Genomic DNA, 15,236 nt, shown 5'->3' with positions numbered 1-15,236 from the left:
TTGAAGATTATAAATGGAGAAGGGTAAAGGAATTTAAAGGAAGGTAAAGTCTACACTTTACTGGAACTGGTGAAATGTTGACACCAGTAAATGTTGGTAAGTTATATGTAATGCAGTCCTTCAGCAGCTACTTTAAAAAAAATCTATTCAAAGAGATGCAGTCAGAAACATTTTAGATAAACAAAAATGGAATTTTAAACTATGTTCAAGTAACCCATAAGGAGGAAGGGAAAAGAAAACAGATAAAAGAAATAAAATGAAATAACAGATTTAAGTTTCAACATATCAAAGACTACATTAAACATAAATGACCTAAATTCATCTGTTAAAAGACAGATGTGCAGAGTGAATTTTAAAAATGACACACTGTGCTGTTTATAGGAAGTGATTTCAGACAACAATATAGATAGGTTGAGACTAAAGATAGCTTTATTTATAATAGTACAAAACTGAAAACAACCAAAGTGCCTCTCAGTAGGTGAAATTGCTAAACAAACCATGGAATATTATATAATATTATATTCATACCATGGAATTCTACTTAGTAATGAGGAGGAGTGAACTATTGATACTTGCAATAACTTGAATGCCTTTTAAGGGCATTAAGCCATGTAAAAAATGTCAATTTCAAAAGACTTGTATGTTTCCATGTAGGTAACATGGCAAAATTTTTCAGCTGAAAAACAAATTAGTGGGTGTTAGGTGTTAGGAATAGCGAGAGGAAGGAAGCTGAGTGTGACTATAAATGGGTAGCATGAGATCTTTATTGCAGTGGAATGGTTCTGCATCTTGATTTTGGTGGCGATTACAGAAATGTATGTGTGATAAAATGGCATAGAATGATACACATTGTACAGGTATTCCTGGTTTTTAGTATGTTATAGTAATGTGAAATGTAACCATTGAGAGAAACTGGGTGAGAGGTATACTGTACCTCTGTAGTATTTTTGTAACATCCTGTAAATCTATAATTATTTCAGAATACATAGTTTTAAAAAGCAAAAAGGCCTGTATAGTCCTAGCTGCTCGGGAGGCTGAGGCAGGAAGAGATTTTTTGAGCCCAGGAGTTCAAGGTTACAGTGAGCTATGGTCATGCCACAGCACTCCAGCCTGGGCAACAGAGCAAGACCCTGTTTCTATTAAAAAAAAAAAAAGATAAATTATAAACAGGAAGAGTTTGAATATTTTAAACAAATGCATTAATATATTTTATATATTTTCAGGTATAGAGAAGCCAGTATCTTTAGTGCATACCTCTAAAATAGTAGAATGTCATCTATGAATATATGATTTTTTAAAAATTTAGTTTTTTAATTTTTAACAGAGTTAAAGAGGCAGATTATAAAGAGGCAGTCATTTGACTACTCTAAAGTCTTTTTAAAACAAGTCCCACTTTAGAAGATTAGGATTTAGCTCTTATTCTCACTTTCTCCACTACCATAAATGCAAACCTCATTTCTACCTCTGCATTTTCTCACTATAGTTTTCATATTCATTTCAATTACATCAGTAGTCTTTTTTCAGTTGGATAGTATAAACACTATTCATATATGGGCTGTGATTGCTTTTCCTCTCTTAAACAACTCTTTTTCTCCAGAATTAATAATTGTCTTTTGTTTAATTTTCTGTATGCTTATGACTAATTGAATTTCCAACTCTCTGAATTACAAATATCCTTCTGTTCATTCTGAATGTGTTTACTCATTATCTTAATTTTAAAAGAGAAGTAAACATAGGTTGGGTTTTAGAGTTTTGGTGTAAAGAAAATTCTTAGTGTTAGAATTTTCTGGCAAAATCAGGGCAAATATTCTTTGTTACTTTTTCTATTTACACACATACCCTGTCCGGCTGCAGATAAACAAATGGTTTTACCTTTATTTCAGCTTAGTTCCTGATTTTTGTCAAGAGTCTGTTTCTTCATCGATTCCAAACATTGGTCACATAGGGAAGTAGGAAGAGCTGTGGCATAGAGACCAGAACACTTAGGTTCTTGTTCTGATTTGGTTTTAATTGACCTCAATGTAGGATGATCAGGTAACCTCCTTGGCCTCAGTTTTCTCTGTAATAGTGACAAGCTCAGACTAGATTATAACTGAGGCCTCTTCTAGTTAAAATGTGATTTCAAGTAGATAAAGTATTTACTTCAGTCCTGACTGTATATGTAGTATCTCTAAATTAAGAGTGTTGTCATTTCCAGTACTTTTAAAGAAATACCCTGATGTTTAGAAAGACATTAGATTAAAAGGTGTTATAGAGAGGGGAAATTTTATAAAAGACAAAAATGGACCATGCATGGCATCTTTGTTGTGCTTCAAATTTTTATATGGGAATTGTGGTTTTCACTTTCCAAGGGTGTCTGGAAAAGAGAAATTCTAAGACCATCAGAAACCTCATTGTTTATTACCCAACAGATTAGATTTGACCCATAGAGTATGCTCTGAAGTAATTAATGTGGCTTTTATGGAGATTTCTTCAATTGTAGACCATTGAAACTAGATGGGTCCTTGGGGGCTTCTAAGAAAGTCCCTGGTGTCTAGCAGTTTCTAGTTGATATAACCAAGGGCAGAATGTACTGTTTTCCATTTGCAAGTGTTTTTACTTTATTGTGAATGTTGTGTGAGGGATATTTGATATTTGGGATACTTACATTTTTTTCAGAGGGCATTAAGGTGAATTGCCTTAATGCCAAATATACATTTGGAAATGAATTTGTAAGTTTATTTGTATACACCTGTTGATGCATTTGTACATGTGTTTGGTGATGCTGATAGGGTGCCACTTTATGGGGTTCCATGAAAAGCAGATATGTAATTTAATTTCATAACAAACATATTCATTGGTTATTATATTTACTGGTTATTGTTATTCACATAACTTATTTTATTGGTTTTCAGGTACTTGAAGAAACAGAAGCTCAACATTTATATCAGTCCATCTTGCCTGATATGGTGAAAATTGCACTCTGTCTGCCAAATATTTGCACCCAGGTTAGTGGATGTAGCTTCCTCAGTAGCTTCCCTGAGACTGACAATTGAATTTCCCTTAAACTTGAATGGCCAGGGTCACAGAGAGAGAGAGAGAGACAGAGAGACAGAGAGAGAGAGAGAGAGAGAGGAAGAGAAGAGAAGAGAAGAAATGGGAAACAGTTTTTGCCAAAGAGTATAGTAATTTTGCTGTATTAAGGAAAAGGTTAGAGGGTAGAGAGTACTACAAAAGGACATTAAAAATGCAGCATTCCATTCCTCAGCTTCTGTTTACACTGTTGAAGCTTGTTTACTTTGACTTTTTTCTCTCTTTGTTTAAATAACCTCTAACTTAAAAAAGTATTCATTATTTCAAAACATACTAGTGGATTTGGAATAGCGTATTTTCAAAATGGCTTAATACGACCCACTCCTTCCTCACCCTCCCCCAAATTCTACAACAAATGAGTTAATGATACTTTCTTAACTTTTTTTGAGACAGAGTCTTGCTCTGTCACCCAGGCTGGAGTGCAGTGGCATAATCTTGGCTCACTGCATCCTCCACCTCCTGGATTCAAGCAATTCTCCTGCCTCAGCCACCCAAGTAGCTGGGATTATAGGCATGTACCACCATACCCGGCTAAGTTTCTTTTTTTGGAGTGCAATGGCACAAATCCCAGCTCCCTGCAACCTCTGCCTCCTGGGTTCAAGCAATTCTTGTGCCTCAACTTCCCAAGTAGCTGGGATTACAGGCGTGCGCCACCACACCTGGCTACTTTTTGTACTTTTAGTAGAGACGAGGATTCAGCATGTTTGCCAGGCTCGTCTCAAACTCCTGACCTCAGATGATGCCTTGGCCTCCCAAAGTGCTGGGATTACAGGTGTGAGCCACTGTGCCAGCCTTAACTTTTAAAAATAAAGAATCCTGTATTTTATTTTGTTTGGAGTACATTAATTATATATTGCTACATAACAAATTATGTCAAAATTAATGGCTTAAAACAATAAACATGTATTATCTCACAGCTTCTGTTGACTTTGGGAGCAGATTAGCTGACTGAGTGGTTGTGGATCAGGATTTCTCTCGTGGTTGCGGTGAGGATGTCAGCCAGGGTTTCAGTCATCTGAAGGCTTGCCTGGGGCTGAAGGACACACCTCTAAGTTGGCTTACTTACAGAGCTGTTGGCAGAACGCCCTGACATGGGTCTCTCTATAGGCTGATTGATTGTCCTTATGACATAATAGCTAACTTCCCCAGAGCAAGCAATCCAAGGGAGAGAGCAAGGAAGCTGCAGTGTCTTCTATGACCTATTTTTCTCAAGGTACCTAGCATCACTTCTGCTGTTTTTCTGTTCATTGGAAGCTAGCCAGTACCCAGGGGGAGGGGTATTAGACCACCTGTTTTTTTTTTTTTTTTTTTTTTTTGAGACTGAATTTCATCCTTGTCCCCCAGGCTGGAATGCAGTGGCATGATCTTGGCTCACTGCAACCTCTGCCTCCTGGGTTCAAGTGATTTTCCTGCCTCAGCCTCCTGAGTAGCCGAGACTACAGGCATGTGCCACTACACTCGGCTAATTTTTTTGTATTTTTAGCAGAGACGGAGTTTCACCATTTTGGCCAGGCTGGTCTCGAACTCCTGACCTCATGTGATCCGCCCGCCTTTGCCTCCCATGGTGCTGAAATTACAGGCATGAGCCACCGTGCCCAAGACTCCACCTCTTAAAGAGAGGAGCATCAAAGAATTTGTGAACGTATTTTCAAACCTCCACAGGGTTTGTTTTGTTCATAATTTTATTCCTGTGTTTCTCACAACCGTGCTTGAATTTGCCTTTGTCTTTTATTTCTAGGGCCAACGCCTCTTGCTGCATGGCTGCTAGCCAGGGTTCTGCTAGCATTTTACTCCACAGGGGCCCTATGGACATTTGGGTGGAACAATTTCTGAATGTGTATAATGGTCCCATGCATTGCAATATGTCATTAGGACACCCCAAAAACCACAAATAGGGTCACTGGGGCAACCAGAAAACAACCCATACATGTCCAAATGCCTTCCTGGACTATGCCACCTTCAGTTGAGACCCATGAAATGTTTTCCAGTGTGATGTTTTCAATTTTATGTAACTTTAATTTCACCTCAGTAATGCATTGTGCCTGAAATAAGTTTTACTATTGGGCAGGGGAAATATATTTTAAAACATATCTTCTTGTTTCTGTTGGAAGTTATTTGCTTGATCATATTCCATGTTTGTTCTTTTTCCTTTCTCTCCTTACTTAGTAAATTCTCTCCCTACCTCCTAGGTATGCCTGTCTGTTACTTCCCCTGTGAAGCCTTCCCTGCCTCCCAGGCAAGGTTCATCCCTCTTGAAGCACTCAAATCATTGTTTTGTAATTCTTGTCATTATATATCTCTTGCCACTGGATTATAGTCTCCTTAAAGGGAGATCCTCTTTGTGTCCCTGGTTTGCATGGTGCTTAATTATATGCTTTTTGAATTCAATATGTAGTTCATAATCAATAATAGGTAGTAGGTAGCCTTTGGGTGTGGGCCATTTAATCCTCTTCCCCTCGTGCATATGAGAGTTTCCATATTTTATTTAATGAGAAATTTTTGTTCAAAGGTATCTGACTTTGTAAGCTATAACAAGTCCCTTGGAACCAAAATCAGACCCCTGAGTCCTCAGCTTTTTGTCCTGGCTTCTCTCAGTGACTTTCTTCTCCATTAGCATATCAACGGGTAGGCATGGAAATTCTGTGCTTTGCCCCCTATTGAAAAGTCAATCTCTGCTGTGAAAGTTAAGATTTTTATTTGAGATCAAAATACGTCTTGTGGCAAGTTAAATTGTATATGTTGGTGTTTAATAATTTATCACATTGAAGTACTCTAGGCCAAATCTAAAGGGTAAATTTTAGATTTATCAAAATAAAATTAAAGGAAACAAATTTGGTCAGGAACTTTTTGAAATATCTTGGTTCACAGTAACCAGCCTCTTATTTTGTTGAGCCGATTGCTTGACAGTAAGATTTACATCTCCTGATTTCTCCAAATAATGAGTTTTTAGGCATTTCTCCTCACCAAGAGAGGAGAAATCATTAACTCTATTTAAAATTATACTATTTGTTTATTTGGGAGACAAGAAATGTTTGTGTTTGAAGTCCATTAAGCCTGAAATATTTACCATTAATTTTTAAAATCATTTTTCTGAATAACTTGGTAAATGGTAGTTAAAAACTCATTTCTTCCTAAAACCAAGCAGCACTTTGCTTGAAGCCATTGATGCACTGTCACCTTTTCTAAACTCGTTGCTTGGTTGTGAACAAATGCACAGGATGGAAAATGGAGATCAATATGAGCTCTCTATTTTTCTCAGAAATGGTGATTGCTAAGACCTGAAGGGGAGAGAATTTTGTAAACATAGTGAAAATACATTCTTTACCTTTTGCTTATTTGTTTACCTTTGAATTTTTCCAAGAGAAATAGTTGAATTACAAGTTTAATCTGTTCTTTTTTCTGGCAAACTCTTATTCTAGCAGTGGTGTGTACTTCTGTACTTAGAAAAGCATTCATTATTCAGCACCGCAGTTTTGGTTTGTCTTGCCTGCCCTTTCCTCAGGTTCATTCTGGGTGTCCACTCCTGAGGTATGATCAGGACAGTTTGCTCTAGGCATGCCATTTTGAGATGAGTGCAGTTACCCGAAACTCTTAGTTCTGGGTCTTACTGAAGGGGAGAATGAAATGCATCTCTAAATATTCTGTGGGAGCATTTTGAAACTTAACAGCAGAAGGATAAACTGGTAGTTGGTCTTTGATTTTATCAGCATGTCTTTAAAAACATAGTTTAACATTTAAAATATGTTAACAAAAAGAGTCAAACTCTGTAAAATATTTGAAGAGATTTATTTTGAGCCAAATGGGAGTAACCAGTGGCCTGTAACACAGCCCCAGGAGATCTGAGAACATGTGCCCAAGATGGTCAGGCTTGGCTTTATACATTTTAGGGAGACATAAGACATCAATCAATACATGTAAGGGGGGCTTACAGGTCTTAGGTAGATTCAAAGATTTTCTGATTGGCAATTGGTTGGAAGAGTCAAAGACCTGGAATCAATAGAAAGGAATATCTGGGTTAAGATAAGGGTTTGTGGAGACCAAGGTTTTATCATGTGGATGAAACCTTGTAACAGGCTTCAGAGCTTTTATCAGATCTAAAAAGGTACCACACCCTTTCTTAATTCTCACCTGGAAAGGAATAGAGATTCTTTACAGAACGTACATTTTCCCAACAGACAGCTTTGCAGGGCTATTTCAAAATATGTCAAAGAAATATATTTTGGGGTAAAATACTTCAATTCTTTCAAGGTATGCTATCTGTCATGTGATGCTATACTCGAGTCAGGCTGGAGTTGAGTCTTATTATTATAAAAAGATTTGTTTCATCAGTTTTAAGGTCTCTGTTTTCTTGTTAATGCTGGTCACTTGTGCTGAATTCTAAAGTGAGGAGCATATAATGAGGCGTGTCAGACCCACACTTCCTATCATGGTGTGGACTAGTGTTTCAGGTTAACTTTGGAATCCCCTTGGTCGAGAGGAGGGGTTCATTCAGTTGGTTGGGGGGCTTGGAACTTTATTTTTGGTTTACAAACAGAATAAAACCCACTGAACACAATACTCAGGTCGTGTGGATTATACTGAAATAAAAGGTAAGTGAATTTGGTGGCATAACTAGAAGACATTTTAGACATAAAAGATTTGAAGGAAAAATGTCTTACATCTTCCATGACTTGGAATGTTTGGTTATGTAAGAAATGTCTTATCTTTTTACAACTTATACATGTCCGTATGGTGGTTTTTACATGTTCTATTAATAGCTTTAATGAAGTTAGATTTGATTCTTATAAAGAAATTGTGAGTATGAAGTGTAATTTGGAATAAGAGGGAGGGTTAAGACTTATTTGTTGAATTATCTTAGATCATTTTATTGAGGACTAAGAAAGATTATTCTAGCCAATAATTTTTAATATAAATAAGAACAAAATTTAGCTTAAACAATGTTATATATTTTTGTTTCATCTTTTGTTCTAATTTTTCATTACATGGGCAATGTGTTTTTATTTACTTGCTGAAGCAATCTTGTTTTTCACTAATAAGTAATGTTTTATATTCTCTTCACTATCATTATTATTGATTAGAAATCTGCAGTTTGTCAAATAAGTGCATTTTCTGAATCATCCCTGATAAACAGCCCTTGACTTTTACAATATTGCTGATTTAAGGATTCAAGAATGGCCTGAAATTATTTCTGCCTTAATTTAGCAAATGCAATTTGGTGCCTCTGCTTTTGAAATTGCTAAACTAATTATTGCTCTTCTCGTCTGTATTTTTTTGTTTCTTTTATCAGCCAATACCACTCCTGAAACAGAAGATGAATCATTCCATCACAATGTCGCAGGAACAGATTGCCAGTCTTTTAGCTAATGCTTTCTTCTGCACATTTCCACGATGAAATGCTCAGATGAAATCGGAGTATTCTAGTTACCCAGACATTAACTTCAATCGGTATGTTTTCAGAAAACACCTCTTTAACAATGAAAAAGACAAAGGTGGAAGGAACTAATAATATTTCTTGAATGAATTCCATAGGCCAAGCATTTTATATGCAGTTGTCTTATTTAATTTTTACAGTACTTAAGTGACATTTTCACCATTTTGCAGGCAAGGTGATTAAAGTTCATTGAGGTTAAAAGAACTTGATTAGGATCCAGGAGCTAGTAAGTCACAGAACTGAGATTTTATTTCAGGCCTGTCTTACTCCAGGGCCCATGTTCTTTCTGTCCTCTCAGATGATTCCCCAGTTCTCTGGACTCCACATGCCTCTTCAGTTTGATTATTCACGAGAACTTTTGTTGTGCTTATATTCCTTAATGCTGAAATACTGTGAAAGGTAGAGGAAAAGTCCTCCTTTCTACAAAGGTCTTATAAAATGAGAGTCTAAAGTCATGAGCTGTCTTATGAGACTTGAAAAGTGTAATTGTTTTGATGAAAAGTGAAAGGTGATTTTGACCCTTTATAGACATGGTTAATTTATCAGTGTAATATTTTTAAAAGAAAAACAAAAGAATGTTCAAACTGCTCGACTAAATTAATACAGTGTGAAGGTATTGATAAAGTTTTAGATTCCAGCCATTTTCCCAGGTGACTACTTTCTCTATCTTCTACACAAACAAAAATATTTTAAAGAATCTTCTTGGCAAATTAATGTTTGTTCTTCCCTCCTACTCACTACTCCCATATCCCCACCTCTGTTTCTTTCTTCACTTGAGAATTATCTTTATAGGACCCATGAATAGAATATGTGAGTTTTCTTCCCTGATTTCAGTGTGAGACTTGAGAAAATTGCTATAATCTGTGCCCCTTTCCCAGCAGGCTGTGTGTAATGCCCTTCACTGCCTCTGGTCACCCAGAGCCTGCCTCTGAGGGTAGGGCAGTATGCAGAGTAGGAGATAAAGTCATAGAGCGGATACACAAACAAAACCCACTTTTGTTTGCCATACTGCTTTTGTCTCTGAAGTAGAATGATCAGTAGCATCACTTTTTTTTTTTTTTTTTTTTTTTTAATTTTAAGACGGAGCTTCACTCTGTTGCCCAGGCTGGAGTGCAGTGGCGCAATCTTGGCCAACTGAAACCTCCACCTCCCGGGTTCAAGCGATTCTCCTTTCTCAGCCTCCTGAGTAGCTGGGCTTACAGGTGCATGCCACCACACCTGGCTAATTTTTGTATTTTTAGTAGAGACGGGGTTTCACCATGTTGGCCAGGCTGGTGTCGAACTCCTGACCCCAGGTGATCTGCCTGCTTCTATCTCCCAAAGTGCTGGGATTACAGGTGTGAGCCACTGCACCCAGTCTGATTCTACCAGTTTTTCTAGTATCCTTTTTCTGTTCCAGGATCCTACCCAGCATCCCAGTTACATTTAATTACCTAGTCTCCTCCAACATGTTCCTTGTTTTTTCTTTTCTTTCGTGATCTTGACAGTTTTGAAGAGTACTCATCACAGTTATTTTGGAGAATATTCTCAGTCTGGGTTTGGCTGATGTTTTTTCAGGATTGGAATGAGGTCATGCATTTTTGGGAGAATACCACAGAAATGATCCTGTGTCCTTCTCAGTGCACCATATCAGTGGGATCATGATACTTCTTATTACTGGTGATCAGTTGGCAAAGGTAGTGTCTGCTGACTTTTTCCACTATAAAGTTACCATATTTCCTTTTGTGATTAATAAATATTTTCCAAAAGATAAAACACTATGCAAATGTTGTTTTGCCTCACATTTATCCCTACTAATTTTGGCATCCATTGGTGCATCTTGTCTGCAATGATTATTACCATAGTGTTTGCCTGTTGTGAATTTTCTGCTTCCCTCTTCTACATTTGCTAATTGAAATTCCATTGTAAGGAAGAGCTATCCCTTTTCCCCCGTTTTTAAAATATCAGAATGGACTCATGGATATTTATTTTGTTGTGTCAGTTTAAATTAAACAGTATTATTTATTTTACTGCTTTAATTATTCTAGCTTTGGCCATTAGGGCTCCTTTAGGTTGACTCCTATGTTCTTTTGATAAGCCCTATCCTTTTTTTGAGCATTAACTTTCATTCTGGAATCATACATTGTTCCAGATTCATCTTACATTTTCCATGCCTCAATCCTGGAATGAACCATTTTCTCAAGGATTCCTGGTCTCTTTTATTGTACAACGGTATTTAGAGACCAACATCTAGGTGATAGGTGTGCTCATTGCTGCTAGAGTGTCATTGTTTCTAATGCAACTTACTTTATGTGGGCAGCATTCCTTATAACTCCACATGGCAGCAGAGAAATGAATTCACAATTCTCTCCAATATCAGAGTGTCAGCCCCGAAGACCATATTTTTTAGCCTTTTAAAATTGGAGAATGTTTTACTCTCTTAAGATGAGAAGAATTCTAGAATTCAGCTGGTTAGTTCCTAATGTAAATTTTTAATTAAACTTAAAAACTAGACATTTCGGTGCATTTATTGTGTGTTTAGCAGATGAAAGTATAGCAGATGACTTGAATATAAGCTGCTCTTAGACTGTCATAATTCTTGGGTTATATTTTTATGACCTTCAAACATTAAAATATTGATGATAATTTGTTATTATATATGGTTACCCTCTACTATCAACACTAAGAAAGGGGCAGCAAAGAATGAAAAATAATGTTATCTAAGAAAATTTCTTTAAAATCCTAGTGTTAGCAAACAGGATAGTTTTTTTTTAATATATAATATGCTCCTTGGTTACATAAATATTAGTTGCAAGGGGCATATTTTTAATCTATTTTTCAAGTTTGTACAGTAGGTAAGTTTGTTTTTAGATACTGGTATTTAGTCAATGTTTAGTTCAAATGTACAATGAGCAACTGCAATATTCCCCACAGTGTATTAAGTGCCATAAGGTTACAGAGAAAGGAGAAGCCAGTTTCTGAGTTCTTACTGTTATGTAGTATTGTCTCATTTTCAAACCTCACGTCACAGATGCCCTTCTCTTTTCCACGTGGCTTTTATTCCTCCTCCAGTACTCAGTTCACGTATCAGTTTTTCTGGTGTCTCAGATTCTGCTAGGATAGGTTTGCTACTCCAGGTTCCTATGCTAGCCTGTGTGTACCTCTGGAGAGGTGCACAGCACCATGACGTTTTATTAAAGAAAGATATAATTTAATAAAGGAAACTTTCCTCAAGGAAATAACTTTTCTTGCTGTTGTTGTTTTGAGACTGGGTCTCATTATGTTGCCCAGGCTGGTCTCAAATTCCTGGGCTCAAGAGATCCTCCCACCTCAGTCTCTAAAGTAACTAGGACTACAGGTACATGTCACCATGCCCAGCGCAACTTTTGAATTAAGTACAAAAGGGTGAATAAGAGTTTTGCCAAGGAGAAGGAGAGGTGGTTGCATTCTAGGCAGGGGAAAAGTATGTGTAAAGTCACTGTTGCAAGAAGGACCTGACATGTCCAGAGACTGAGAGAAGACAGTGTGGTTGCAGCACAGAGAGTGAGAAGGAGCATGGAGATGGTAGAGGCTACAGAAGTAGCTGGAGGCTGGACCATGCTGTGCCTCACTAGGCCATCTGAAAACAACAGGAAGTCATTGGAGGATTAGATATGTGGGTAGAGGGAGACTAGCACATGTGTTCAGATTTACATTTTCAAAAGTTTATTTTGGCTGTAATGTGGGAATCAAGCAGAGAGGGGCCAGAGTACATGAGTTTACCCAATTGGAGAGGCTACTGCAATGCACCGGGAAAGAGGATGGTAGCTGGGATAGTGTAGGGGAGGGGACAGAGGTGTGGAGACATTTGAAGGGGTAGCCAGAGTGATGGTGATGGACAGGATTGGTAGATGGGCAGAGAGAGGCATCCAAGGTACTCCTTAGGTTTGTACAGCCAGATGTGTGCCTTTACTGTCCCCTACTTTTCCTACTGTACTACCTAGACTACTTCATAATTGCTTATTTAATCATTTCAGTGGGACAGGGATCTTAACTGTCTTTGTTATTTTCACAAAGTCTCATGCATTGTAGGCCTTCAATAAATGCTTCTTGAATGAATGAAAAGAAATTTTACAGATGAAATATTTGAGAATTAAGTGACTTGTTTTGAGTAATGGAGCTGGTTAGTGGCAGAGTGCTAAGACTATAATTTAGACCCTTTGTTCTCAGTCTCTTGTCTTTTACTTTTCATATTATGTCTTAGTCTTAGGAATTACGAGATGTTTTATTTTTAAGCCACATATAATCAAACATAGCTTTTACTTCTGATTTCGTTAGTAATTGGGGTAGAATTGAGAGAAAACACAGAGCATTGGAATCTGCAATTGCAGTTATATAAAAAACCTGTTTCACAGGCGTGAGCCACTGCGCCCAGCCCATATATTACTTTTACGTGCAGAAGAAAAAATAGTTCAGGGAAGAACAAGTCAGTTGTCAGAAATCAAGCTGAACACAAAGTTAATAAGAGTGGACAATTTTTGTAATTTGATTTTGAGGGTGGAATTTCACAGATTTTTTGAGGCTTTTCCAAAAAAGCTAGTGTGGATAGCTTCTTTCCAATTACTCCTCCATAGACACATTGTCATTGTGTCTACTTCACCCTATTTTACTTATTCAGCATATAGCATTTTATTTCTTATGGAAGAAATAGAATCCACAGAGTTCTGTAGGGAGCAAAGACCCATCGCTGCTGGATGGCTGACAGGCAGAGGTCAAGATGTCTTGGGAAGGCTTGGCTTTGGTGACTTCCAATTTCCTGTAACCAATTACCAGAATTTACATTCATATATATATCTTTTTTGTTTTTGTTTTTGTTTTTTTTGGGACAGAGTCTCGCTCTGTCGCCCAGGCTGGAGTGCAGTGGCGCCATCTCGGCTCACTGCAAGCTCCACCTCCCGGGTTCACACCATTCTCCTGCCTCAGCCTCCCTAGTAGCTGGGACTACAGGCACCCACCACCACGCCCGGCTAATTTTTTGTGTTTTTATTAGAGACAGGATTTCACTGTGTTAGCCAGGATGGCCTCAGTCTCCTGAACTCGTGATCCACCAGCCTTGGCCTCCCAAAGTGCTGGGATTACAGGCATCAGCCACCGCACCCGGCCAATTTTATTATATATTTTAATTTTAAAAGACCTTTGTTTTTCAGCCAACCTTCTGAGTGGGGAAGCCTGGGGCTTCTTGGCGATGGCAGGTTTATCTTTTTCATTGTACATGGTCATTTATCCTGAAGACTGAGCTGGTTAGCGCTGAAAGTCAGCATGTTGGGCTTGATGGGAATCAAGGCTGGGCCATTTTTTTAAATGAAGGGAATATTAATTAGAACAATGCAACTGCTTTATGTAAATGAATGTTGATTTTTTTGGCCTGGGCATTATGTAATGCCTTATTTTAGCGCAAGTACCTTAGCTTACTCAGCATTATCTGAAATTCATTTACTTGTCACATTAACCATATGAATTAGAATATTGATTAGGAATTGTTGTTACACTCATTTTTAAAATGAGGTGGAAGTTTAGAGAGGGGAGGTTACTTCACCAAGTTAACACAGTAACTAGTAGACTTGAGATTCAAACGCAGGATGTAGTCTCCTTTGAGAAGCTGTGTCCCTTAACCATTCTGCTACACAGTCTCCCTTTGAATGAACTGAATTAATAATTCTTACCTCATGACTAGTCAAAAATTAGAACTATTTTTAGAAATAATTATTGATCTATTAAATGAATTAAAGCCATTTTTAAGTCCAGAGTGACCGTGACGGATTTAAGCTTGCAGCAAATAGCATTCTCACCAAATAAGAGTTTAAGTAGTTCCGTTGAAGATTTGAAATCAGGCATATTCTTGTCTTCCTAGGTGATGGATGTTCTTTTGGATAGCAGAACATGAAAAATGAATTAAGGCAGGTAACCTAGTGTTAGTCTCCACAATGTTGTAGAGAATCCTAAGCAGCCAGGATGTCTGCACTTGCCTTTCACTGTGAGATGGTGTGTGTTTTAATGAGCCTAAGCTAGCAAATAATAGGAACAACAACTGTACATCACCATTGATACTGTCTTTTGATGGCTTGCTTTGATTCTGTCTATGGAATTTTCTAGGTAGGGAAGCCTCTCTACTGATAAGGTTCAGGGAGAATAAATGAATTGTTAGCACAACTGGAACTTGATCACTGTCTTCTACTCAAACTCAGTGTTCTTTTATTATATCTCAAAGCCTGTCATGAGCAAAATGCTCTGAGTGCTCCGGAAATGCCAAACAACTGAAAGTCCCCCCACTTTTATGTGGCTTCTGAAAGATCCAGTACGTAATCTGATGAGCCATTTGTTAAGCTGATTATGTAGCATTTTATTGTGTTATTTCCTTTTATGCATAGTTTCTACTTATGATTATAGTTTCTAGCAGTGGGGAGTTGTGTGTGTGAGAGTGTATTTAATCTCAAAAGAGAGGTATGGCTAGCTAGTTGAATAAGAAAAATGGTAAGAGTATGTGGTGGGAGGCTGAAGTCAATAAATTGAATATGTCTTCCCTTTTTTATTTATTGCTGTGTTCTTTAAGCCCTGCTTAGTTATGGTAAATACCCCTGACCTTTTTCCCTGCTTGCCTTTCAGGTCCTAAACATTCATATAAAGGCTTCCAATGTGATTAGCATCGATGCTTCTGAGTTTGCATGGAAACTAGATGGTCAGAGATAAATTGTGGGTCTCAGCAGTGGTCAGCCCA

General features: G+C 37.6%; 2 pseudogenes across 3 annotated transcripts in view; both read left to right on the top strand.

The window, feature by feature from the left end:
• The window catches only part of PARGP1-AGAP4 (PARGP1-AGAP4 readthrough), a 146,781-nt pseudogene that overhangs the window by 53,309 nt on the left and 78,236 nt on the right, over positions 1 to 15,236 (top strand). For both annotated transcript variants that reach the window (NR_160518.1, NR_160519.1), the window contains exons 2-3: positions 2,895 to 2,987; positions 8,360 to 8,517. The product of NR_160518.1 is annotated as a PARGP1-AGAP4 readthrough, transcript variant 1 (transcript). The remainder of the gene's footprint in view (positions 1 to 2,894; positions 2,988 to 8,359; positions 8,518 to 15,236) is intronic.
• PARGP1 (PARG pseudogene 1) overlaps positions 1 to 15,236 on the top strand; it is a 117,594-nt pseudogene that overhangs the window by 53,363 nt on the left and 48,995 nt on the right. Inside the window, exons 6-7 of the transcript NR_029388.2 lie at positions 2,895 to 2,987; positions 8,360 to 8,517. The product of NR_029388.2 is annotated as a PARG pseudogene 1 (transcript). The remainder of the gene's footprint in view (positions 1 to 2,894; positions 2,988 to 8,359; positions 8,518 to 15,236) is intronic.

The sequence above is a fragment of the Homo sapiens genome, chromosome 10, assembly GCF_000001405.40.
Source record: "Homo sapiens chromosome 10, GRCh38.p14 Primary Assembly".
Classification (NCBI taxonomy): Eukaryota; Metazoa; Chordata; class Mammalia; order Primates; family Hominidae; genus Homo; species Homo sapiens.
Note: the sequence above shows the minus strand (reverse complement) of the source record. Positions and strands in the feature narration are given on the sequence as shown.